This window comes from Homo sapiens, chromosome 2 (genome assembly GCF_000001405.40).
Source record: "Homo sapiens chromosome 2, GRCh38.p14 Primary Assembly".
In the NCBI taxonomy this organism is placed as follows: Eukaryota; Metazoa; Chordata; class Mammalia; order Primates; family Hominidae; genus Homo; species Homo sapiens.
In genome coordinates this window covers 29,002,053-29,028,349 of record NC_000002.12, presented here as the reverse complement: position 1 = coordinate 29,028,349, position 26,297 = coordinate 29,002,053, and the positions used below count along the sequence as shown (strand labels likewise).

At 52.8% G+C, this 26,297-nt stretch overlaps 1 protein-coding gene across 16 annotated transcripts in view, besides 3 other annotated features; it reads right to left on the bottom strand.

Moving 5' to 3' along the window:
* The window catches only part of TOGARAM2 (TOG array regulator of axonemal microtubules 2), a 95,713-nt gene that overhangs the window by 23,881 nt on the left and 45,535 nt on the right, over nucleotides 1-26,297 (bottom strand). For 7 of the 16 annotated variants that reach the window (XM_047443568.1, NM_199280.4, XM_047443566.1 and 4 more), the window contains 10 exons: nucleotides 25,603-25,814; nucleotides 24,668-24,858; nucleotides 16,849-16,895; nucleotides 13,789-13,955; nucleotides 11,046-11,196; nucleotides 10,394-10,558; nucleotides 6,042-6,192; nucleotides 5,159-5,264; nucleotides 3,976-4,211; nucleotides 1,339-1,497 (listed from right to left, as the gene is read on the bottom strand). In XM_047443568.1, coding sequence (XP_047299524.1) covers nucleotides 1,339-1,497; nucleotides 3,976-4,211; nucleotides 5,159-5,264; nucleotides 6,042-6,192; nucleotides 10,394-10,558; nucleotides 11,046-11,196; nucleotides 13,789-13,955; nucleotides 16,849-16,895; nucleotides 24,668-24,858; nucleotides 25,603-25,814 — 1,585 coding nt within the window. Of the gene's footprint in view, nucleotides 1-1,338; nucleotides 1,498-3,931; nucleotides 4,212-5,158; nucleotides 5,265-6,041; nucleotides 6,193-10,393; nucleotides 10,559-11,045; nucleotides 11,197-12,672; nucleotides 12,750-13,788; nucleotides 13,956-16,848; nucleotides 16,896-24,667; nucleotides 24,859-25,602; nucleotides 25,815-26,297 lie in introns of those variants that run through there. The other 9 variants (NM_001321538.3, XM_047443569.1, XM_047443574.1 and 6 more) reach the window with 7 other exon arrangements.
* Nucleotides 4,122-4,623: an enhancer, noted in NCBI's record as "H3K4me1 hESC enhancer chr2:29246593-29247094 (GRCh37/hg19 assembly coordinates)". NCBI's record gives its function as "activates a minimal SCP1, AML or CMV promoter by ChIP-STARR-seq in primed H9 embryonic stem cells {active_cell/tissue: H9 hESC(primed)}" and the evidence as "EXISTENCE:reporter gene assay evidence [ECO:0000049][PMID:30033119]".
* Nucleotides 12,983-13,032: an enhancer, noted in NCBI's record as "active region_15530". NCBI's record gives its function as "activates an Ori minimal core promoter by ATAC-STARR-seq in GM12878 lymphoblastoid cells {active_cell/tissue: GM12878}" and the evidence as "EXISTENCE:reporter gene assay evidence [ECO:0000049][PMID:35858748]".
* Nucleotides 17,059-17,188: an enhancer, noted in NCBI's record as "active region_15529". NCBI's record gives its function as "activates an Ori minimal core promoter by ATAC-STARR-seq in GM12878 lymphoblastoid cells {active_cell/tissue: GM12878}" and the evidence as "EXISTENCE:reporter gene assay evidence [ECO:0000049][PMID:35858748]".

The window sequence follows — 26,297 nt, the reverse complement described above, 5'->3', positions numbered from 1 at the left end:
AGCAGGGGAGAATGGGAGGAACCGCAGGCACTACATCCCTCAGGGAGCACCCTCAGACGTGGGTACCCTACGAGAATGTCTGGCCTGGAGCTCACCCATCCAGGGTGGGCATGGCCTCTGGAGCCCTGACAGGTGCCACATGGTCTCCAGTTGGGGCGAGGATGGAGTGAGGGGTGGAGACCTACACACTCATCCAAATGGATGTGGTAGTAATAAGCCCTGAACTGAGGAGTGTGAGGAACTGGGCTCCAGCCCTAGCTTTTGAAGACAGTCAACCAGATCCTCTCGCTCTCCTGCTTAAAATCCTCCAACACCTCCTCATACTCCCACTAAGAAAACACTCCAATGACTTCCAATCACACACCATCCAAAATCCCAACTCCTGACCTTGGCCTAGGAGAACGTCTCTGACCTGGGCCTGCTGCCCACCCTCACCCCCACCCCTCACTCACTGTGCTCCACCAGGCTGGCCGTCCCCACCCTTGGACACCAAGCTTGTTCCCATCCAGTGGCCTCTGTGACATTTGCTTTGCCTGATCCTCAAAGAGCTGGCTCCGTGTAGCCGTTCAGCTCTCAACTCAAATGTCACTCTTAAAAAAGGTTCTCTGAACCCTCAGTCTAAAGCAGCCCCCCCACCAACTCCATTGCATTGCAGCCTTTACCTCCTGGGCTCAAGAGATCCTCCCACCTCAGCCCCTCAGTAGCTGGGACTACAAGTGTGCAACACCACCCCTAGCATTTTTTTTTTTTTTAAGTAGAGACAGGATCTTACTATGTTGCCCAGTCTCAACTCCTGGCCTCAAGCAATCCTCCTGCCTTGGCCTCCCAAAGTGCTGGGATTACAGGTATGAACAACCACATCCGGCCTATTTTTTCTTTATATCCCTGATATGTATCTAAAATTACCATAATTATTTATTTATTATCTGTCTCCCTCGACTAGGAAGTAAGCTCCAATACAATAGGGACTTCATTTTTCTTATTCACTGCTGTGTCCTTAATAAGAAAAAGAGTGATCATTAAATATCTCCAGAAAAAAAGGCCTGAATGTTCTTACAGAGAATGGTGCTGCGGTGAGGTAGAAACAAGAGCAACACTCAATGGGTAAGAGGGGAAATGGAAGACCAGAAAGTGGAGGCAGGGAGTAAGGACCCCTCCCTGAATGGGCTTGGCTTGATGGAAGGGATGGGACAAGAGCTGAAAGGAAAGGACATAGCTTCCGCCTACCTGCCTGTCCCTCTGCAGGATCCCAGGGAAGCTGAAGCTGTGTGCCCCAGGCCCCTCAGGGCTGGCTGGTTGGTTGCCTTCTCTGCCCCCAGGCCCCTGGCCCTGCCCTACCTGGTGTCCTGGTTGGAGTCCTGTGCCAGCCTCACCAGGTTGTGCACCAACATGTCTGTGCTGTCTCTGGTGCCCGAGAGAAGCTTCTCAGCGCCGATCTGCTCCAGCACAGCTGAGAGGTGCTCAGCCGCGTATTTCCGGATCAAGGGGTTCCGGTGGCTGAAAGGAAATCATGGCCCAGGGGTCAGTCTCAGGATAGTGGTGTGGGAGTCCCCAGGCTGGCAAACATGGATCTACCATTGCAGACCCATGCTTCATGCCAGCCAGGGGCTCCAAAAATACCTGTCCCCATGTGAGCTGAGGGGAATCTTTGAGGAAAGAGCACTCACTTTCTACGAACAGGGTGACAGCAACAACGGGAGAGGGAAGGAAAGTGACATGAAGCTACACGAGGTTCCCCAATACACCGTATGCATACCGTTCTTGGGAGCTTCCTGCACACACATCCTTCCTTTTGTCTAAGTACTCTTCTCCATCTTCCCTCCACCTAGAAAAGTCCTACCTAACCAGTGTCTCTTCTTCCTTCTTTCCCCAGCCCCACAGGCAGAATTAGACATCCCACCCACTGCCCAAGGTAGCGCTGTCTTTGTCCCCGGGGAAGTACAGTTGCACCCTTAGGGCCCCCATCAGGCTGCCAGCTCCCTGTGGGCGGGGACCAGGTTATCTGTCTCCCTTGACTAGGAAGTAACTCCAAAACAACAGGGGCTTCATTTTTCTTTTTCACTGCTGTATCCATAATGACGAAAAGAGTGATCATTAAGTATCTCCAGAAAAAAAAGGCCTGAATGTACAGAGAACAGTACTGGGGTGAGGCAGAAACAAGAGCAACACTCGATGGGCAGAGGGGAAATGGAAGGCAAGAAAGTGGAGGCAGGGAGTAAGGACTCCTTGCTGAATGGGCTTGGCTTGACGGAAGGGATGGGACTAGAGCTGAAGGACATAGCTTTCATCCACCTGCCTGTCCCTCTGCAGAATCCCAGGGAAGCTGAGCTGCATGTTCCAGGCCCCTCGGGGCTGGCTGGTTGCCTTCTCCGCCCCAGGCCCCTGGTGCTTCCCTACCTAGTGTCCTGGCTGGAGTCCTGATTCCCTCTCTGTGGCAACCCCACTGCCCTGCTGTGCCTGACACATCCCTGGTGCTTGGCAGGAGCTTAATGCATGTTTGCTGAACTGAACTGAGACAGGAGGGAGAAGAGGGATTCATGGGTGAGTTGGTGACCATAACAAGTGGAACCTGAGCTCTATAAGAGAAACCTGTCAGAATGGCACCTCTTTCTAAGGGCCTCTGTGTCCACACTCCATCAGGAAGCACTGACCCTTTTGTCCCCTAGAGTCTCACCCCAGTGGAACACAGTGGGGGACATCAGAACTCTCCCTACTCAGCATGGTCCATGGACCAGCAGCACTGACATCTGAACCAGAATCTGCATTTCAGCAAGATCCCAGCGGACTCAGATGCACAAGCCATGACCCTGGTTCTTGTTGACAGTGATCAATTGCCTGTCCCTCCATGCCAGCACCTTTTATCCATTATCTCACATCTACCTCATTAGCTACTATTATCATCACTATTCTGCAGGTGAGGAAGCTGAGCCAAAGGGAGGCATCCAGAAAAAAAAAATACAATTCATTTCTCCTAAGTTAATTATAGACACAGTAAGCACTCAGTGAATGTCAGGAATGGGCAGGCACCTTTCTAAGTGCGCTTTCGTGAGTCAATTCAATTACCTCTCATAACAACCTCATGAGGTAGACACCATTATTATCTCCATTTTACAGATGAGTCAACTGAGACACAGAGAAGTGAAGTGACAATCAGGATGTGAACCCAGGCAATGTGGCTGGGCAGGATCTCACCCTTTGCAGTATGCTATGGTGCAATTACTAAAGGTCTCCCAGCTGGTCCAACAGGCCCCTGGGGCTACTGAGAAACCTCACGCATCAGTGTAATGATCCACTTATGGGGTGGAGAGGCCTTTTGCTGTGCGGGAGAAGCAGCTTGGGAAATGCTTTTGGTTTTGCTTTTAGTGTGGGTGTTTAATGACAGGGAAAACAAATCTGCAGAAAGGCTCCAACAGGAACCCAATACCTTCCCCTCCCCAGGAGCAGGTCCAGTGGGGCAAGCTGGAGAATGAAATTTTGCGACTTTCTCTTCTCACTGGCCCACATTTCATCAGAAAGCAACACTGCTCCTGGGGGTGACAGGAGCTCCAGGGCCCATGCTCAGGCTGCCTCTGCAGCCCTGTCTCCCGGGGCGCTCCCACAGCCACGGTGTGCTCCCCAGCCTTGGAGTGCAACGGCCCCCTCCTCTTCCAGCCAGAGGTCCCTGCATTCCCCCGGCCTGGCCGATGAAAGGTTGGGAGAGAAGCCGGATGCCCGGCACAGGGAAGCAGGGGTCTTCCTCCCCCAGCTAAGTGGGAAGCACCTGCTGTGAAGTCTGAGATGGGCCCCTTCTTCACTCAGAACCTCTGACCCATCACCCTGTCCTCTAGCATCTCAAGGGACCCCCTGCAGCCTCACTTGCCTGCTTCCCTCCCTCCCTCCCTGCACCCTTCCCTCCTTCTTTCACATCCCAGGGCCTCTCCCCTTGCCTTACCTTCCCTGACTTCCCCGCCCCTCAGACAACAGGCAGCCACATACTAGACACCCGCCGAGGTGAGGACCACCAGGGAGCGGGCAAGGGTCACATTCTCCACCATAGCCCTCAGAGACTGGCCGGCTGCTCTCTGGATGAACTCGTTGGTGTCCGCCATCTTCTGCAGCAAGCAGCGGGCGATCTCCTCGGCCTCCTGGTCCATATTCTTCTTCAAGGCCTGGAAGAGGTCTCCCAAGGTGCTGATGGCCAGGTGAGACACCTTGGACCGCAGGTTGGTGACCTTGGAGAGAGGAGAGAGGCCCTCCAGGGTGCTGGACCCTGCCAAGGGCTCTGGGACGCATGGAAAATGGGCCCTGCACCACCCTCTTCCTCCACCCCCACCCTTCCCCTGACCTAGGCCTTGCCACGCTGGAAACAAAAACCCTGCAGCCACTCTGAGCAAAACTGTCCCATTTTGTTATCATCTCAATTATTAATCCCATCATTATCATGACCATAGGAAATGTGTACACTCTGTCTTCAAAGCACTTTTACAAAGAATGTCTGATTTGATCTTTGCAACTACCAAGTGAGAAATAGGTACCATGAGAAGCACAGTAGTGCTGACTGAGGCTCTAATTAACCTGGGAGAATGTAACTGTATTTTTTCTGGATGCCTCACTTTGCAGAGGAAACAGAGACCCCAGGCCACATGCAGGAAGGCAGATGCTCCCCACACAGCCCAGGCCCCTGTGTTAACAAAACAGCGTCCTCCGTATTCATCCCCACCCCACCCCCACTGGAGCAGCCCACTCCCAAGGGCAGGGCACAGCCTCCACATGAGAACAAATGTAGCCTCCTGCCTCTCTGGACCCAGCTAGACCAAGCCACAGAGCCATGAAAGAAACGCTTTGGGAAATACTACCACTGCCCTGGAGTTGGGGATCTGGCCCTGGACGCTCCATCCCTCCTTAGGCATTTTGAGTACAGAGGACCATGCAGGCCGACACATGGGCATGTGGGATTCTAATTGTTTCCATTCTCAAAGATTACAAATAAGGAAACCCTAGGCCTCAGTTTTCCAATCTGAGAAATGGGTGGCTACCTCCTACCTCAGTGGCTGAAGGCTGAGAAATAAGCAGGGATCCCCATGTCCCTGAAGCCACAGCCCCTCCACAGCTGCTAGCGGACTGCATCCAGCAGCTGCAGTGGGGCCAAATGCACAGCACACAGGCTGGGGGGCCTCACCTCCCCAGTCACCACCAAGCACACGTCGTGCAGCTTCCCGGTGAGGACCTCTGAGTGACAGGCTGCCAAGCGCTGGATGCTCACCAGACCCTTCTCCTTCATCTGCCTGAGAAGCAAGGCCAGGCCCTGTTGCAGAAGGGTGGAGAGGGAGGAGCCCCACCCCTCTGCAGACTAGGGGCCCCACATCACACACCATCACGGTCCACCGTCACCCGCAGCAGGGTGCCATTCCATGGCCTCAGAGCAGGGTTTCCCGGGGTAACACCCTGGCCTGGAATCCTAACCACTCAGTAAAAGCCAGTTTTATGTGGCCTCTGGCCAGCCCTCAGCTCTGACAGTGCTGTATGGAAGCCCACCCCCCTCCAGGACCTGTCTGGGTCCTTGACACAAAGCCAACACCTTCAATAAAAGGCACTTGAACAGGGAGGACTGAAGGCAGGGAGGGCTTCTCACAAATGTTCTGGAGGCCGAGGCATTGCTTTGCTCATGACTACGGTCCTGCATCCCCACAGTGGGAGGAGCGCTCGGAGCAGATTCAATTTCATTCAGAGAAATAAAGGGCTGCGGCCTTCCTGGGCCCCATGGTGTGGAATCAAATGCATCCTTGCCATGCCTGGCTTTGGTACACCACAGAGCCATGCATAGGCTGCTTGGAGGGTCGCAGGGCACACACATAAAGCCAGGAACACCACACACTCATGCACACACGCACATAAACACACATATCTATATGCATGCACAGTCCTCCCTCCAAACTGGCTTTTATGCTCCATGGTGCTGGAACCCCAGAGTGGGAGAGGAGGGAAGTTGAGGGGCAGAAGCTATTCTGCAACAGCCCCTGCTTCCGGCCAGAACACAGCACGTGGTGGAAGCATCTCCTCACCAGTCACTGCTGTTGAGGCACTGGAGTGCATCCCTCAGCCCCAGCTCCGGGTTCGAGAAAGGCCTCAACTCCTTACAGGCTCTAAGATCCATCTCCTCCTCTTCTTCCCATTCAGGAGACCCCAACGTGAGCACCGCAGGTAATGAGTTAGCTGCATTCACAAGAAAGAAACAGCAGGCTTCACGCAGCAGGACAGGCAAGAGCCCGAGTGGCCGCTCCTGCCACCGCTCACCATGGGAGGCCGTGCCACCACCCTGAGCCCACCTAACAGGGAGGGTGTACAAGTGGAAGTGCCTGGTGAGGCTAAGAACCCAGCGCCTGGGCCTCCCTCCCCAGGAGCCATGAAGACCTCCTAACTCTACCTTTGGCTGACTTTTCCCCTTCCTGCCCTTGCCAATGCGATTCTTATAAACAGATTTGTGATAAGCCACATGATGTCATGGGACTAAACCCCCCAGTCAGGGGGACACCTCCAAACCTGCCCCATCTGTGGTGGGGTGGGGCCCCCTGAGCCATCAATGAATGATCTCCCTACTCACTTTGGTGGCGGTCTAACCTCATTCCCAACCAGAGGCCTGTATGGTCAGCGCCTCTTCCTTCCCTCTTGCTATCCAGCCTTTTGTGAGGTTGCCCACAAGCAGGGAAGAGTCCAAGAGCAGATGGCTAGAGGAAGACAATGTAGCTAACTGGCACCCACACAGTCCAGATGCAGCCACACACACAGGGACCCACAACAAACAGGTTGTCGTGTTTTCTAGGCTCTCCTTCCCAGGAGACAGATGCTGAAATCATAAACTCCTAGGACAGGAAGGAGTCTTACAGGGCCTCTGTCTAGCCAAATGCCCTGATCACACAGTTGAGGTCCCAGAGGCCCAGAGAGGGTGGGGGACCCTCCACAGCCCCTCGGCTCCTCTGTCAGCACAGCCAGGACAAGAAGATCCCCCTCCCAGTCCAGAGCTCTCACTACCACATCTTCCTTCCTGGCGAGTTTTCTCCCGAGCTTCACCTCCACCAGGATGATTTTCACCACAGTACATCTGGAGGTCCTAGGCAAGTCTGAGTGGAGAGGAAGCCCTTTACTGAAAGTGGACGCACAGCCGGGCACAGTGGCTCACATCTGTAATCCCAGCACTTTGGGAGGCCAAGGCAGGCAGATCACCTGAGATCAGGAGTTCAAGACCAGCCTGCCCAACATGGTGAAACCCTGTCTTTACTAAAAATACAAAAATTAGCTGGGCATAGTGGTACATGCCTGTAATCCCAGATACTCGGGAGGCTGAGGCAGGAGAATCGCTTGAACTCGGGAAGCGTAGGTTGCAGTGAGCCGAGATCATGTCACTGCACTCCAGCCTGGGCGACAGAGTGAGACTCAGTCTCAGGGATTAAAAAAACAAACAAACAAAAAAAGCGGAGACACAAAGCCCTCACTCTTGGACTCTTTTTCAGCACTGCCCTTGGCAGGTGGAACAGTCTCTTAATCAGTTATTTCAGTCACTCTCTGAAAGGCAGGAGGTAATATCCAACCTCCCCATCCTTCCCTGGGCAGCACGGACGTGAATGACATGCTGTCTGCAACGCTCTCAAAAAGAGGCTCAGTCTTCTGGAGCGAGCAATACAGCCACCTGCCCTGCTGCCCCCCTTCCTCGCCTTCACCGCACCCCACAGGGGCATTTAGCATCCACTGGATTTAAAAACAAACCCACAAAAGGCACTGGCAGGGGGATTCCAGCCTCCAGTGTCTTGAGGGCTTGTGTGGCCTCCCCCTTTGCCCTACCTCTGACAGCTTTCCAGTCATGTTCGTATTTGTGCCTTCTGGTTCAGTCATTTCTATTTTTCACACACACAACAGAAGAAGTTGAACAGATCCTGAGCTGAGCTCACCTAAACTAACCCAGTCTCCCAAGAAAGGCCAGCTCCTTGTTGGAAACAGTGAGTTCCTCTTCAAAGGTCCCGCTTGTCCTCTATTTTCAAAGCTTAACTTCCTTGCCTCCTTGCCCCTAGTTACAATAAACAACTTTCCAGCCACTCCCAATCTGTAACCCACATCCATTCCCAATCTGTAACCCACATCAGTTCCCAATCTGTAACAACCCACATCTGTTCCTTATTTGAGGCCCTTAGTTCCAAAACTGCTCTTCCCACCGCTAGAGCCCCTGATCCATTTGAAGTAGCCAGTCGGGATCAGCTTAGATTGTGCTGTCCAACCCCAGCCAATGGGGACCGGACACAGTAGTAGGGACTGACTGCATTAGGGATAAAAACCCCTTCCCTCCTTTGTTGGGTGTGCTCTCGCAGTGACCAGAAGAATGAGCAGCAGCCTTCTGCGGAAGTAAATTTGCCTCGCTGAGAAATCCTTTATTTGAGTGCTCGTTTTCTTTGTGACTCCTAGCTCTTATTTCCAACACTCTCACAGGACATATTAGGAGAATCAGGAGGACAAGCAGGTTTACAATCCTGAAATACTATCATTTCCAGCCAAACTAAAAACCCAAACTATACAGCAAGTTAAGGGATTATTTGTTCACTGTGAGGAGAGAGGAAGAAGAGGAGGATTCAAATACAGCTTCCAGGATGGTTGTAAGAGGAGAATGTTGGCTTTTTTTCCTAACTCCAACAACATAACCTACTTGATTTTATTTCTACCTACCCGCTCACCTGCCAAACATAAACAGTTCAAATAAAGAGGGACAACAGACTATCCTGGGTCAAGCATCACTAGCCAAAGTCTCAGTCTAGTGATCTTTAGATGGTGGTACTATGGGGCACCATGACCTTGAGTGATCTTGGGTGGCTTTTACATCACTAGGTCTCAGTTCTGCTGCTATAAAATGAGTGGGTTGGCCAGGCATGGTGGCTCACACCTGTAATCCCAGCAATTTGGGAGGCTGAGGTGGGCGAATCACTTGAGGTCGAGAGTTCGAGACCAGCCTGGCCAATATGGTGAAACCCCATCTCTACTAAAATACAGAAATTAATCGGGCCATGGTGGCATGCACCCAGCTACTCAGGAGGCTGAGGCAAGATCACTTGAACCCAGGAGGCAGAGGTTGCAGTGAGCAGAGATCGCACCACTGCACTCCAGCCTGGGCGACAGAGTGAGACTCTGTCATAAAAAAAAAAAAAAAAAAAAAGAGTCAGTTGGGTTATATACATCAATAGTTCTCAGTATCAATCATATTATTCAATTACCACTTTCATGATTTTTGCCATATCTCTCAATAGCCTGTCCTTTCATTTACATTGCACTTCAAATCACAAAAGAATTTCAAATCCTAAAGAATTTAACTTTAAAGGGAACTTTCTGTCACTACCATAAACTAACATTGTTTGTCATAGAATATGATAAATATTTACAATGAAAGTAAAACAATGTTAAAACTCTAGCTAAAAAATTTGTAGGCAGCTTCTGTCTTTGAGCCTGAAAGAGGATCTCCTTGTTTAAAGAGAGAGGTGCCACCATGATTGCAAGTTTCCTGAGGCCTCCCCAGCAGCAGAAGCAACTATGGTTCCTGTACAGCCTGTGGAACTATGAACCAATTAAACCTCTTTTCTTTATAAAAAATAATAAAAATAAAAAAAGAGGTGCTAAAGACTAGCACCAAATTCAGACTTTCTACTTGAGACAATTGAAAGGATAGAAAGAGGATTGAAAAGGGAGATGAGCTGGCATTATTTACAGCATGGAAATTATGCTCTAGTCCATGATCATTTACCATCACATCCCACACTTACAGAAACTCTGAACCAAGCTGACTGTTTTTAAGTTTTTTTCAGTAGCAAAATCTTTCCAAATGAAATCTCACATGAATGCCCAGTATACAAAAAAAAAAAATGAGGCAACATAGAAGCTCCTCTGGTAGAATGGGGACAGAGCGTCCCCATGTCCCAGGCACGATTCCTGAGGTGCCCTGGTAGAAGCTCTGGACCCTCTGATTCCTGTCTGTAGCCAGTGCTGTCCAGCCCTGACATTTTATGAAGCAACAGGAAAGAAACCGAGGTCTTCCCCAATCCTCTCATCCTCTTTCTGCTGTTCACAGCTGCTTCCTTGGGTGCTATTGTCTAGTGTCTTTGGCCCTCGTGCACTGGTCACTCCTCCGGACATGTCACACAGGCTGAGGACATCACAACTCCAGTTGTGACATCCTGGGTCCCAAGCCCAGCCTGTAGACAATGATGAGTCCCTGACACTGTTTCTCTCTCTGGCAAGGCAACCACCACCCCAGGCTGCCTCCTGGTCTAACATGGACAAGGGGCGGAAGCAAAGCCACCGAGGTCACCTCTGCCATGCCTCAGGGCATCCTGAGGCAGCATGGGCAGAGGGACACGTGTGCCTGCCAGTCGGGCCTGCCCACCTGAGGCGTGGCGGGCAAAGCGGGGCTCCTGCCGGCTGATGGGGATGCTGGGCAGGGAGGCCCGGCTGGCCCACTTCCTCAGGATGATGCTGACGTCGTTTCTGCATGGGCCGCTCAGCCTAGTGGGCACAGACAGTGTCCCGCTGCCCCGGAGGGGAAGGAGGCCTGTGGACACAGAGAAAGTCCTAGGACTAGGCAGGTCTGTTTTCCCCTGGCCTCAATGTCCTCCTTTGAAAATGGACCCATGGCTGGCCAAAGTAGCTCATGCCAGTACCCCCAACATGTTGGGAGTCCGAGGTAGGAGGATGGCTTGAGGCCAGGAGTTCAAGACCAGCCTGGGCAACATAGGGAGATGCCCATCTCTACAGAAAATTTAAAAGAAATTAGCCAAGCATGGTAGCACACGTCTGTATTTCCCACTACTTGGGAGGCTGAGGTGGGAGGATCCCTTGAGCCCAAGAGTTTGAGGCTGTGGTGAGCTGTGATTGTGTCACTGCCCTTTAGCCTGGGCCACAGAGTGAGGCTCCATCTCTAAATAAATACATAAATACTAATAAAAATTTTAAAAAAGAAAATGGGCCCATCAGCAGGCTATGAGAGAGTGGACTCAGCTCCCCAGGCCTGAGCAAATCCCACACCAGGCACCCAGTACCTTCCTTCATGAAGGCTCTCTGGGAGCCCAGGCACTGGGAAGTGAGCTCCTGCCCTGTCCTGGGCTCCTCCAGCCTCCGAAGCAGCTCCATCTCCTTCATCTGCTTCAGCTGCATCTTCTCCCGGGCAGACTTGGAGATGGTGACTTGGATCTGGCACAAGGTCAAGGCAAACTCTATTAACCTCCCATTCATTCAATCATCAACATTCAATCATCAAAAATGTTTCTACTGTGTGCCAATTGCTGTCCTGGAAGTGAACAAAAAAGACAAACTCCTTGCACCTTAAGAGCTTTGAAGTGTGGGGGAGAGACAACAAACAGACCAAATGCTGATATCAGGCAGTATGTGCTGAAAGAAAAGTAAGGAGACAGAGATGATAGTGGCTTTTAGCCTAGAAGGTCCCTAGGGACTCCCCGAGGAGGTGAAGCTTAAGTGGAGACAGAAATAAAGGAAGGAGACCAGCCCCACAGATTTCTAGGAGAGAAGTGTTTGAAGCAGAGGGAGTGAGTGCAAAAGCTCTGAGGCCGGGTGTGCTTGGCTGGTTGGGGACAGTCAGGGGGTGGACACTGGCTGAACTCTCTGAGTCAGAGAAGTGACAGGACACAAGATCAGGCAGGGGGCAGGATCCACATCACCCGGGCCAAGGAAAGGACTGGGCTTCTCCTCTGAAGGACACAGGAAGCCGTTTAAGGTTTTGAGCAGAGGAGTGACATGATCTGCCTTCCACTGGTGGGGGCTGTCTCTAAGTGTTGTTTTTTATAATTTTTTATTTTGAAATAGTTTAAGACGCAAGAACAACTCGTAAGTTGTCAAAATAGAACCAAGACTTCCTGTGTTCCCTTCACCCTTCCCCAGTGATAATATCTTCCACATCCACAGAACGTTCTAACTTCCATTTCTCTAAGGCTCATGCCAGCTGCTGCACGGGAAGGGTCTGGAGCTAGCCTCACACTGGAAGCAGGAAGAGTGTTTAGGAGGCAGCTGAACATCCAATCAAGAGGTGGTGGGGCTTGGACGGCGATGGGGATGGTGGGGTGGGCAGATTCTGGACATGCTTCTCAGGTGCAGCTCACTCTCTTCGCTGATATATGAGGTGCGGGGCGAGAGAGGAAGAGAGGAGCCAAGGACGCCCGAGGTGGTTGACCTGAGCCACTGGAAGGCTGGAGTTGAGTGGGCCCCTGGGGAGAGAGGAGGTTTTCTGAGGTGAGCATTCAAGGGTTGAGTTTTAGACACAGTCAGTTGGAAGTATAATTAGGCACTTAAGCAGAGATATTGAGCAGCAGCTAAACATGTTAGTCTGGAGGTCAAGGGAAGGTCTAGGCTGGCGAGGGAGGTGTGGGAGTCCTCAGCATAGAGATGGTACTTAATGTCTGGACTGGATGAGGACCTAGCGGGTCAGTATAAATAGACGAGAGGCCAGAGGGCTGAGCGCTGGGGGAGTTCCAGCATCCAGAGGCCGGGGAGATGAGGAGGAGGCAGCCAAGAAGGGCTGGGAAGGAGCTGCCTTTCACGTAGGCAGGACCAAAAAAGAGCCACCCCTCACCCCTATCCCTGGCTGGAGAATTCAAGGATGAGACACAAGTCGTATCAAAAGCTGCGATGGGGTCAAGGTAGACAAGGACTAACCGTGGCTGCATTTGGGAAGATGAAGGTCATTGGCAACTCCAATGTGGGCAGTTTCAGTGGGGAGTGTGGACTAATGCCTGTCAGGAGTGGACAAAGGAGAGAAGAGAGACACGGCAATCATTTTCTCTTGGTTTTGTTCCGCTTTCTTAAAATGAAAGAGGTAACAGAGAGCTAACATGCTGATAGCAATGATCCTGTTTCAAGGAGAATATTGTTGATGCCAGAGAGGGAACAAGTGTTGGAACTGAAGGATTAGCTGGATTGAGCAGAACAGCAGGAGAAGGTGGTGAGCCAATGGGATGCTTGAAATTGAGACCATGGTGGGGGGACACACTTTAGAATGCCAAGGCCTACGATGTGGCCACAGGAGGGAGCGCAGAAGTGGGGTGGAGGATCAGCTCGTTTCGCTGCACTGAATCATTGTTTGTGTTTCCTGTTCTGTGGTCCTCTCTACAGTGGGAGGGTTGTGGTGCTGATTTAACAGTCACCCAGTCTCTAACAGAGAATATGCACCCAGGAGGCCTTCAAGATATGCTTCTTGACCTGGAATGTTCTGTCTCAAAGAATGAGCACAGGCTCCTCACTACAGTGACTCCCCAAGCTTCACTAAATTCGTTCCAACCAGGGAAGAGACCACCTTCCAAGGTCACCTGAGAAGTGTGAGGTATTCGCCAGTCCCTGGAGCACAGCCCGTGGCTGATCAGCCCTGAGTCAGCTGCCTCTCATTTGCTATCTTGGGTGTTAGTTCAAACCACGCAGCGCAGTTCACCTAAGGCTTCCTGCTCTCTCCCCACGTCCGGCTTCCTCGTGAGCCCTGTGCAACCTCCCCGTCCTCCTTCCTTCCTCCCTCCTACCCCTTCAGCAACCCTCTGCAGTCTTCCCTGCACCTAGTTCCCCACCCCGCTTCTGACCCCCATCCTTTCTCTTCCTTTCTTCAGCCTTCACCCCAACCCCGTCTGCAGGTTCTGGCCTTTAGTACTTGGGTGGCTGCCTCGGGCTCTCCTTGCTCTGCTCTGTGGCTGGTCCCACTCTTGAATACTTCAGACACTTGCTTGCCTTCCTGCAGCCTGCGGTCCACTCCAGCCCCACTTCCTCCTCCTCCCGCTCCCCAGGTACCTTGGTGCCGATCTCCTTCTGGTCCTCTTCTTTCAGCGGAGGGCAGGCTTCTCTGGCACAGTCAAAGGAGAAGGCTGTCAGCGTGGGAGCAGACTGAGAAAAAGGCAGGGCAGGCTTCTTGGCAGCGGCAGGCCTGTCTCTGATGGGTGAGGCCAAAGGTTTTGGCTCTGAGGGGTTGAGAACAGGGGTGGAGCTGAAGACACCCAGGTCACTGCTGAGCTCACTGACCCTGTGGCTGGCTCAATTCTACTGCTAAGCCCCACACCCTCAATTCTTCCTCAATGGAGCAAGACCTGAGTTAGGTTTACTGTACAGGGCAGCACTGGCAGGCATGAGACAGACTACCTGTGGACCAGCATCACCCTCCATTCGTTCATTCACTGCACACTTTATTCCAAGATAGGTGTGGGATTGGGGAGGCTGGGCGGGAAACAGGGCCAGATGTGTTATCCAGGAGATGTAAGACATTTCCTGAGAATATAAGTAAGTGTATCTGTCCTGGGAGGTACGTACGGCAGGAAAAGAAAAAGCAAAATGGGCCCACCAATCCTTTCATATGACCATGGGCTTGCCTGAAAGCATGACGCAGCAGGAAAGGGCAGAGTTGCCAGGACCAGAGATCTAACACTAGTCCAGTCTCATTTCACAGACGGAAAAGCTGAGAGCCAGTGTGATGGTTAATGTTAGGTGCCATCTGGATTGGATGCTTACATAGCTGGTCAAGTATTGTTTCTGGGTGTGTCTGTGAAGGAGCTGCCAGAGGAGATCGACCTTTGAGTCAGTGGACTGGGAGAGGAGGACCCATCCTCAGTGTGGGTGGGCACCATCCAATCAGCTGCTAGCTGCCATCGCAGCTAGAACTAAGCAGGTGGAAGAAGGTGGGATCACCTTGCTTGCCGGGTCTTCTGGCTGCCTGCTTTCTCCCCTGCTGGACGCTTCCTTCTACTCCTCCTGCCCTTAAACATCAGACTCCAGGTTCTTTGGCCTTTGGACTCTGAGACTTGCACCAGTGGCTTGCCAGGGGCTCTCGGACTTTTGGTCACAGACTGAAGGCTGCACTGTTGGCGTCCCTGGTTTGAGGCTTTCGAACTTGGACTGAGCCACTACCAGCCTCTCTCTTCCCCAGCTTGCAGATGGCCGCCTGTGGGACTTCACCTTGTAATCGTGTGAGCCAATTCTCCCTAATAAACTCCTTTATATACAGACATATATCCTACTAGTTCTGTCCCTCTGGAGAACCCTGACTAATACAGCCAGTAACCTTCGAATGCTCTTGGGATGGATAAAATACCCGTTCACTTCCACTTGATGGCATCAAATCCACAGTATTGCTTTGTCATTCATATCTTCCCCATCAGCGGATTTTAAAGGTACATTTCTCATTATGAAGGCAGGGCTCAAACAGGTTCATTCATTTTCTGCCACCCACAGGGTTTGGAGCTCACTGTCCTTGGGTGAACCTGCAAGTCAGGGGTCTGCTGAGATGGGGCCACCAGCTGAGGCTGCCTGAGGCTGGAAAAGGCATCTTACCTCTGGGGCCCGTGCAGAGCTCCCAGGTCACCCAGGTCCTCTGCCCAGGCCATGTCTTCTGCAAAGGATTCCTCTGCTTGGTGCAGGGAGAAGGATCAAGGGCCAAGGGGGAAGAGGGGCTTTGAAGCCTCATCTGCCCAGAGGTAAGAGGCAGAGCAGAGGGCACATGTGGTAGGCACCACCTGGCCAGGGCAAGGACTGCAGGAATGCCACAGATGTGAGGAAGCCCCCAGCTTCAGACAAGACCCTGTGAGCCCCTACCATGTGCTAGGCATGTTGCACACAGAGGGCAGTGTCAGCCCAGTTGCCAGCTGGAGGGCAGAGAGCCCTTTAAGGACTTAACTATTTTTTATGTCACTTCTTCACCTCCACCCCAAAGGGATGCCCTGGAAAGCCCTGTCTGAGCAGCCTGCCCCTGCCACAGGTCCCTGGTGACCTGGTTCTCAAGCAGCAAGCTGGAGAGCCAGGGGAGGAAGTGGTTACTGACTGGGGTCTCCTGGCCCAACCCCCACACCAGCGTCCTCCGGGTTAGCTCTTAAGGTCACTCAGGGTGCCGGTGCATTTCGCCACAGACTGCCTGAGCTCACCCTGCTGCAGCCTGGCCCGGGAGCAGGGGAGAAGCAGCTGCCGCAGAGGTTTCTTGTGCCAGGTCCAGCTTTGTGTCTTGATCCCAGGGCCTCTTGGGCAACAGCCACCCCCCTTCGCCAACTGCCCCACCAGCTGAGCTGATTAGCAGAGTGACCTGCCAGGAAGCTGGTCCTGGGGAGGCCACCCCTCCTGCCGGGCAGTAGAGCGGCTGCCTCCAACTCCTCCCCACCCTGGCCTGGGTTCGGGGTGTTCTGCTCCCCAACCCTGCAGCAGAGGCTCAGCTTCCATCCACCCGTCCCACCTCCCCATAGAGTTCAATCCAGGAAGGATCCCTCCTCCCTCTTTAAAGGCCTCCTACCCTGCCCTGTCCCCTCTCCTCGCCTCAATCCTGTGCTGGCCCTATATCCTGACAGCTAAAGCTCCTGGGGCCAGCTGGCTGAGGTTTGTGGGCTCTGGTTTACCCTCTCATTCTCTAGGTGAGGAATACTCTCTCTACTTGCTTAACACACCGCAAGGGGCAGCTGCTTGATGTGTCAAGACCCCAGCTTTGGAGCCGTGGAAACTTGGCTGCAAGCCTGATGGGGCTCAGCGACCAGGGAGGACATCCTGCTCACAGAGCCTTCGTGTGCCAGCTCGTCTGTCACACACGGCCAGAATTGTCTCTCTTATCGAGGCCGTGGCAAGCTGCACAAGCTGGTGTACGTCATCACACCTGACGTACCAGAGCAGGTGTCAATAAATGTCACTTCTCTTCCACACCTCGCCCGGGCCCGCTGCCACCCTCCGGTTAGACCTCCGGTGACTTCAGCTTCCTGCTGTGAAATGAAGGGCCCAGACACAAGAGCTCTCAGATCTCCTCTGGCCCTAATTCTGTTTCCCTGACCCAGCCCAGGAATGTAGAGAGTCAAATAACAAAGGGAGGTGTGCATGGAAGATACGTACCCAGAGATGCAGGGGTCTTCTCCCGAGGCCCACTCCCCCGAGCCAATCTTAAAAGAACGGGGGAGAGAAAAGCATCATGAGGGATGGCCAGCCAGAGACACTGCTGGGGGAGCCCAGGGTGGCTCCAGGATGGGGCAATGGCCGAGATGGGGGACAGAGGGGACGGCACTGTTATCCCTGCAGAGGCTCTTGGCCCAGGATTCAAGCTGCAGGAGATACAGCTCCCTCTGCAAACACAAGGGCAGGCTGACCACCAGGCCAGGTTCAGCCCCATTTCCTGGCAGTGCAGCTCGCGCATTCCCCAGGAGGCTGACACCCACACAGAAACTGCTGACTTAAAGGAAGCCCCCACCCTCCCGCTGTGCTGCTTGGGCCTGTGGAGTTGACAGCAGCTGCAGTAAACAAGGGTAAACTGCCTCCCAGCTTAGACAGCACTGAGCTCAAGTTCTCCAAGCTGCCCCAACCCCGTGAGAGCTCAGTGACCCCTAAATAGTCCCACTCGTGATTGTAATCCCCATCCCAGGGCCTGGGGGGCGGAGCTGATCCCCTTTGCTGTGGCAGGAAGTCACCACTGTTTTGTACCAGAAGCTCAATCCCAATTACCCACAGGAGGGGGAAGACAGTGGCATCCCTGGCACTGGTTTTAATTGTAATTTCTTAAGTTGGAAGCACCATTTACTTATTCAACAGATATTTACTGAAGACCTACTATGTGTCAAGCACTATTCTAGACACTGGGAATGGAGCATCAATAAGACATGACACTCCCCGCCCTCCGGGAGCTCAGGTTCCCATGGAGACCAGCCCTGCAGCGTCCTACATGGCTTTCCCTTCTCGGTGGACATCAGGACCCACTGGGGGGCTGACAGAGTAACAAGCCACAGCAACAGGTCAGGAACACAATATCCCACACACTGGCCTCAGAGGATCACAGTCCAGGCCGGGCTGCAGGAGGGGCGGTAGGACAGCCCCCCTCAGTGCCTGCCTGGATGCAGGGGAACCCTGATCCTTGGGGACTGTGGAGGTCAGGGGAGTCCACAGGAGGAGCGGAGCTTCAACCTGGGCGTAGATCAGCCGGGATTCGCCATTGCTCCCAGGGCCAGGCCCAGCCTCTTGGGTCTGGACCCACAGGGAGGGATCGTGTGGGCTGGAGATAGTAAGCGAATGCTCCAGGGCACCCCTGACCTGGGGAGCTCGCCCACTAGGCCTTTGCCATTGTAACCCACCACTGCTTAACCACTGCCCAACGGCACTAAGAGGATTGGAGGCGGGCGGGGAGGGGAAGTGGAGCATCAAAGTCCACACAGTTGCCCTTGGCTTCTATGAGCTCATGGAGGTCCCAGGCTGCCTGAGGTGAGCACAGGATGCCAAAAACCCCAATGCTTATGCCTCGGCTTTGCCCCTGGGGCCCTGAGCTGCAGCCTCCCCCGCTCTGCGCCCCCCCAACACACACACACACACACACACACACACCTGCTCTGAGCAAGGGATTTGGCCTCAGAGGACTTGGCGCAGCTTCTCTTAAGCTGTGGACCCTGGGGAAGCCTCTTGCCCTCCCCTTCTCTAGCGACCCCACAGCAGAAAGGACTGAGGCCAAGACAGGCCATGCCGATCAGGGCCCCTGCCTTCCTGCACGTGGCAGCCCCGCCCCACCCTGTGCGAACCTCACAGAAAACCCACCACCGCTCAGGCTCCTCCGCAGGCCCCAAGGAGGTGGGTGGAGCAGGAGCAGCAAAGCCCTGTTTCCAGCAAGAGCCCCTCCCGGCTCCAACCCAAACGTCTAAGCATGTCCAAGAGTGGCCTCAGCACTGTCCCCAGCACCTGCCTCTTCTCCTATGCCCTGTCTCCAAGAAGGGTGCCAGTATCTGTCCAGTGGCTGAAGCCAGGAACCCCGGCATGGTCTCAGCTCCCCCATCTTCAGCCCACATCTACCCCGTGGCTTAGCCCTGCCATTCATCCCGCCCCGCCCCCACCTCTGCATCCTCAGCCCACAGACTCCCTGCCTCTGCCCTGCTCAGCCACCCTTTGCCTTCTCCCCGGATTCCTGCAGCAGCCCCACCTCCATCTACACGGTCCATGCCACTCTGAGGTTGCCAACATGGCCTTTCTAAGTCACAGCAGATGCCACTTTCACACCCGAAAGCCTTTGGTGGCACCTCCTTACAGGAGGATGAAGCTCCCACTTCTCAGTTGGCACACAGGCCCTTCACCCCCACCCCGCAGGCTGTCACGCAAGGATGCAGGGGCTCACTCCTCCTTCCGTCTCTCCCTCTTCCACCTCCATCTCCATCTCGCAAGTGTGCCCTCATCCTGCCCTGAGAAGTCTGCCTGGCATGATTCAGATCTCTTTCTCCTGGGTCACCAACATGACAGGCAGCCTTCGCCTACGCACCCACCTCTCTGAACTTCACCTTGATGACTTCCTGGCTGGAGCACACAGATTGTGACCTATGCACCTGGCACATAGTAGGTGCTTAACAGCTTTTAGGTGAGTAAACGGACAGATGGATGACTGAAATGGTAATAGAGCCTCCATCCCCTCCATTGGCTAGAGAGCCCCACATTGTCAACAAAGGGAAATCCATGTCACAAACCAAACAGGAAAGGACAGATATTTATTACGGAACTAATCCATGCCAGGTACCAATCCTGGCCCCACAGAAGCCACAGAGGTTTTTGACATATGGCCCCTGCCCTGTGGTGCTCCAAGTTAAAGAACAGAATGAGGTTTAAATAAAATAGGCTGGCCAGGTGCGGTGGCTTCTACCTGTAATCCCAGCACTTTGGGAGGCCGAGGTGGGCAGATCACCTGAGATCAGGAGTTCAGGACAAGCCTGGGCAACATGGTGAAAGCCCAGCTCTACTAAAAATACAAAAATTAGCCGGGCCTGGTGGTGCATGTCTGTAATCCTAGCTACTTGGGAGGCTGAGGCAGAAGAATTACTAGAACCAGGGAGGCAGAGGTTACAATAAGCAGAGATCGTGCCACTGCACTCCAGCCTGGGTAACAGAGCAAGACTCCATCTCAAAAAAATATATATATTTTTAATTGGCTGGGTGCAGTGGCTCACGCCTGTAATCCCAGCACTTTGGGAAGCCAAAGTGGGCAGATCACCTAAGGTCAGGAGTTCAAGACCAGCCTAACCAATGTGATGAAACTGCAGCTCTACTAAAATTACAAAATGTAGCCAGGCATGGTGGCATGCTCCTGTAGTCTCAGCTACTCGGGAGGCTGCGACAGAAGAATTGCTTGAACCCAGGAGGCAGAGGTTGCAGTGAGCCAAGATCGTGCCACTGCACTCCAGCCTGGGTGACAGAGTGAGACTCCATCTCAAAAAATAATAACAATAAAAAATAAAAAACAAATAAATAAAACAAAATAAATAAACAAAATAAATTTAAATAATCAAGATTTGCTTATTTTGTTTAATGGAAGGGAGGGGCTGAGGCAGTCCCTGGGCTGGATGCCTGTGGACAATGCAGAGAAGACCACTTCCCCTCCTTGCCGCCCTTTAAAGGGAGAGTAGGTAGACATGGAACAGTGGAGATGAAATGAATGGGTGGGGAAAGGGGTGAGAGGCTGTTGGGGTTGCAGAGATGGACGAGGGGAAGCACCATGTCCCCTCGTAAATGGATGGATGGATGAGTGAAATGGTAATAGGTCCTCAGGGTCTGGAGGGGTAAGAAGGCCCCACAGAACAAGCACTGGGGGACAGCGGGGAGGAACTGTGGGGTCGTGGGCTGGATGGACCCTGATTGTCAGGCCAAGGAGACTCAGCATTATGCGCCTGGGTCCTTGACACAAAGGACCCGCCATTCATTCAATCAGGAATGTCAATACAGGCAAAGGGCCTGCAAGAGGTGTGCAAGGTGGCGGGGGAAGCAGGAAAATGAAAGATGGGGATGGAGCGCACAGGGCTGCAAGGATACTGGCTAGGCACTATTAGGGGAGGTCAAGAAGGAAGCGGAAGTACAAACCAAGAGGGAAAGGCAGGGGCAAGAAAGGGGTGGAGCTTTCATGGCTGTTAAGAAAGACTTGGGGGCTATGGAAATGTGTTGGAGCAGGAGGCACTAGGAGCAAGGGTCAAAGATGACACTGAGACTTGAAGGCCAAGAAGAAGGTCTGCACCTTGACAGCAATGAGGAGGTCTTGGGAGGGGGTGGTTTGGGGAAACACGAGGTGGTCCTTGTTGCCATGATGGTGGCACAACCTCCCTGTCTCTCCCTCTGGTGCTGGATCACATCAGCCAGGAGAAACTGGAGATGCCCAACAGAAAGATGGAAACCCGGAGCCTGACCTGTGGATGGTTCCAGGGCTAGAGCAGGAGATGTGAACTCACCCACATTCCACCATCTGGAAGACTTGGGCACACATAAGGGCCCCAGGAGAAAACAGGAGATGGGGGCAAACAGTCCTGGAACAATTTTGGGAATGGCAGAACTTAGAAATGGAAGAGGGCACACAGGAAGCTGCCTGGAAGGTCGAGAAGCAGGTATAAAGTCAGGATGCAGAAAAAGAAGAAAAATTCAAGGGCCATCCATGGTTCAAATGATGCAAAAAAGTCAAGAGTAAAGAGATAAGAGGAAAGGCCACAGGTCTGGGGCCAGTGAGTCATGAGAGGCACAGATAAGGCTGCTCCGAGGGGAGGAAGAGGCCAGCGTCTGAGTGGGAAAGGGGAGGACGTGTGCAATGGTGAGGAGGCGGAGGTCAGTGGAGCAAGCTGCTGTCTGAGGAGGCTGACGGTGAAAACTGAATAGAGAACTCGAATCCAGGAGCAGGTACATGGACGGGTCTCTATAACCCACAGGGTCGGAGAAAGACATGAATATGTGTGTGCACAGAGGGAAGGCACCAGGGAGATGGAGGGAATGAGGAAGTGTGAGAAAAATGGAAGAATCCAAGTCATCAGGCCCCAAGAAACGGGAGGGAAGCAGTCACAGCAGGAACTGGATTGTGACTCTACTGAAGGAGCCAGGCCCATAGGCCCTGAGCACACGCACACACACTCCACACACATGCACTCACACATACACATGCACTCACACACAGATACACATGCACACACATGCACACACACAGATACACATGAACACACATGCACTCACACACACGCACTCACACACATACACATGCACACACATGCACTCACACATACACACATACACACACATGCACACACTCCACACACAGGCACTCACACACACACATGCACACATACATGCACACATATACACTCCACACACATGCACACACACTCCACAAATGGCTTCACACACAGTCACACACACAAACACATGCACTCACACACATGCACACACATGTGGTCACACATGCTCACACATGTACTTACGCACATGCATGCTCTCACACACATGCACACACATATGCACTCCACACACATGCACCCCACACACACACACGTGCTCTCACACATACACATACACACACACTCCACACATGCACTCACATACATATGGTCTCACACACACACGCACACATACACACCCTACACATGCACTCATACGGTCTCACACACAAATACACATATGCACACATACCCCACACACACACTCCACACACATGCACTTACACACACGCACTCACACACATACACATGCACTCACAACATGCACTGACACATATGCACACACATGCACTGACACATACACATGCACACACATGCACTCACACACATGCACTCATACACATGCACACACAGATACTCCACACATGTACTCACACACACACATACACACATATATGTGCTCACACACATGCACACATGCACTCACACATGCACGCACTCCACACATGCACTCACATGCATGCTCACACATGCATGCCCTCACACACATACACACATGCACACACACTCCACACATGCACTCACATGCATGCTCACACATGCATGCCCTCACACACATACACACATGCACACACACTCCACACACATGAACACACACCACACATGGCTTCACACACGTAGTTACACAAACACATGCACTCACACACATGCACACATGCACACACATGCAGTCACACATGCTCTCACATACATGCACTCACGCACATGCATGCTCTCACACACGCACACACACACTCCACATACATGCACCCACATACATGCACGTTCTCACACATACGCTCCACACATGCACACACACGGTCTCACACACACATGCACACATACCCCACACACACACATGCACACACACACATATGCACACACACTCCACACACATGCACTCACACACATGGTCCCACACACATATACACACATGCACACATACCCACACACATGCACACACACACTGCACACATATGCCCTTACACATGCACTCACACACAACATGCACTCACACACATACACATGCACACACACCCATACACATGCACTCACAACATGCACTCACACATACACATGCACACACATGCACTCACACACATACACATGCACACACATGCACTCACATACATGCACTCACACATACACATGCACACACATGCACTCACACACATACACACATGCACTCACACACATACACATGCACACACATGCACACACATGCACTCACACACGTACACATGCACACACATGCACTCACACATGTACACATACACTCCACACACATGCACACACAACTCCACACAGATGCACTCATACACATACATGCACACACATACTCCACACATGCACTCAGACACACTCAGACACATACTCTTGCACTCATGCACACACACACTCAGACACACACACACATGCATGCACTCACACATATACACATACTCAGACACACACACTCTTGTACTCACATACATGCATATACTCACATATACATGCACACATACACACTCATACACATACACTCACACATACCTGCAGGCACTCATACATGTGTGCACACACAAAGACACTCAGACACACTCACTCTCACACACACGTGCTCTGACATCACTCTGGACTGACCACGGGGATGTTGCTGGCCATCTAGAGCACTGTCTTACTTACAAGCCATAACCCGATTTATGCCAACACAAAGATCCTCTTCCCCACTTGTTTGTGGGATATGAAGACCCCTTTTCAAGTCCAAAAGTTTGTGGACTGTCCCCCATACACATGATACTGGTTGTATTTTTAGTATCCATCAATTAAGAAAATATTTAATTACAAAGAGCTGCCATGAACTCAATCATGCTTTAAAATAGTGTTTTATTCATAGCCGGGCACGGTGTCTCACACCTATAATCCCAGCACTTTGGGAGGCCAAGGAGGGCAGATCACCTGAGGTCAGGAGTTTCAAGACCAGCCTGGCCAACATGCTGAAACCCGTCTCTACTAAAAATACAAAAATTAGCAGGGCATGGTGGTGGGTGCCTGTAATCCCAGCTACTCAGGAGAATCGCTTGAACCCGGGAGGCGGAGGTTGCAGTGAGTTGAGATCACACCACTGCACTCCAGCCTGGGCGACAGAGTGAGACTCCATCTCAAAATTATATATATGAGATAAAATAATTAGTGTTTTATTCATTACTCCGGCAACCTCATCCACTAAGGCACTGGGAGAAGACAGAGGCTGGAGACATTGTTCGTGATGCCATTGACCCAGCCTGCCGGAGCCAAGAGGCAGAGAAGCCCCGGCAACCATGCTGGGACCTCCCTAGGTCTGTGGCTCATGGGTGGAGCCCCCAGCCCTTTCCCTGCCTGGTGTCCCAAGAACTCTGCCACAGCATGGAGGGTCAGCCACAAGGAGCCCCAGTGGATCTCAGGGGGACAGAGGGAGAGAAGTCAGCAAGGAAGGTTTGACTTGGAGCTCTTACCGCGTGCGTGGGGCCCTCAGGCCTGTGAGGACTCCCTGGCCTGGAGGTAACGGGCTGGGAAGGGAGCCAGGCACACGGGAGGGGGTCGCTGCAACCGTCCTGGCCTTTGGGATGGGTGGGATCACGATGGCGCCCAGGGACTTCTGCATCTTCTCATCATTGCAGTGCAGGTATTGCCAGGAGATCTGCGCCTGGGAGCAGAGGCGGGACAGGGGTCTGGCCTATGGCAACATCCCATGGTGAATGCTCACCTCCAGGCACCTCACACAGTGTGGGACCTGCTGTCTCTTTTCAGCCACACCACCCTGGGACCCCCAGAAGCCTGACTGCTTCCTTACCACTCCTGGTGAGGAGACTGGCAAGCCCTTTTGTGACTATTATTATTCGTTTTTCTGTTCTCATTTCAGAAAAATCCTAGAACATCAGAGCTGGAAGGACCTTCAAACACATCTGGGCCAAACCTCTATTTTCATAGATGTGCAAACTGGGGCCCAAAGAGGGGTGTGACTTGCACAAGGTCACACAGCCAGTGAGGGGCAAACAGAAACCAAGGCCCAAATCTGAGTCCTAGCCCAGCATTCTTTGCCACACTCTTGCTTAAAATGGAGAGGGCCAGAAAGCAGGAGGAATTCTGGAACATTTAGACCAGAGAAGGCCTAGGGGACCACCAGTTCTAGGACAAAGGTCATGCAGCCTCTGGCACAGCCACCCAGAGCCCCCAGGCCAGCTATGGAGGTTTGAGATGCTGGGGGAGGTGGTGAAATGAGCACCTTGAGCCTCTCCCAGTGCTGTCCCTATCCTCACTGCAGACCTCAAGACACCTCCAGGGATGCTCAGGGCATGGAGTCAGGGGTTGGTGGAGGCTAGAAAGAAAGGCAGGAGGAAGGGAGGGCAAGAAGCTGAGGACCAGACTCACAGCAGTCGAACCACCTTACCTCCTGAGCACCGGGTCTCAACTCGTGAGGACCCGGAATGCTCCCCGGTAGGTCCAGGCCCTTCTCTTTGACTCCGCTGGCCTCAGGGGTGGTAGGGATGCTCTGGATGAGAGGCATCGGCCTGGGCACCCTCAGCAGCCTCTGAGAGGTGGCTCGGGGGATGGTGCTGTGCAGGGGAACTCCTTGGGGGCCTCCCCCTGGATCCAGAGAGGCTGTACAGGGATGGGGATGGGAAATCAGTTAGTCCCAGAAGAACAGGGAGTGGAAGGTGGATTCAGACCCCAGCAACGGGGCCTTCTGCCCTGGGAAGGACTGGGATGGCGAGGAGAGAGATCAGATCTGTCCCCAACCCCACCACTGGTAGACTGAGCAAGCAGCCACTTCTGAGTGTCTGTGCCATTCCAGAAAGGGCCAATCCAAGTTACCTGTTTAGAATTCAGAGGCAGCGTGGGAAGGAAGGGAAATAAAAGCAGTGCCAGATCAGGAGGAAGCATGGCAGGTCCTGGCCGTGGGTAGAAGCTATGTGACCTCGAGCAAGGCACTGTCTCTCTGAACCCCATTACACTTCTGTGAAATGGGGTGATTCAATAACATCACTTATATAAGATGCCAGGCAAGTACCTGCCACTGTTTCCCCTTCCTTTTCGGCTGGTGATGTGGGGCGTAGCTGTTTTGACACAGCTAACATAGTCTAA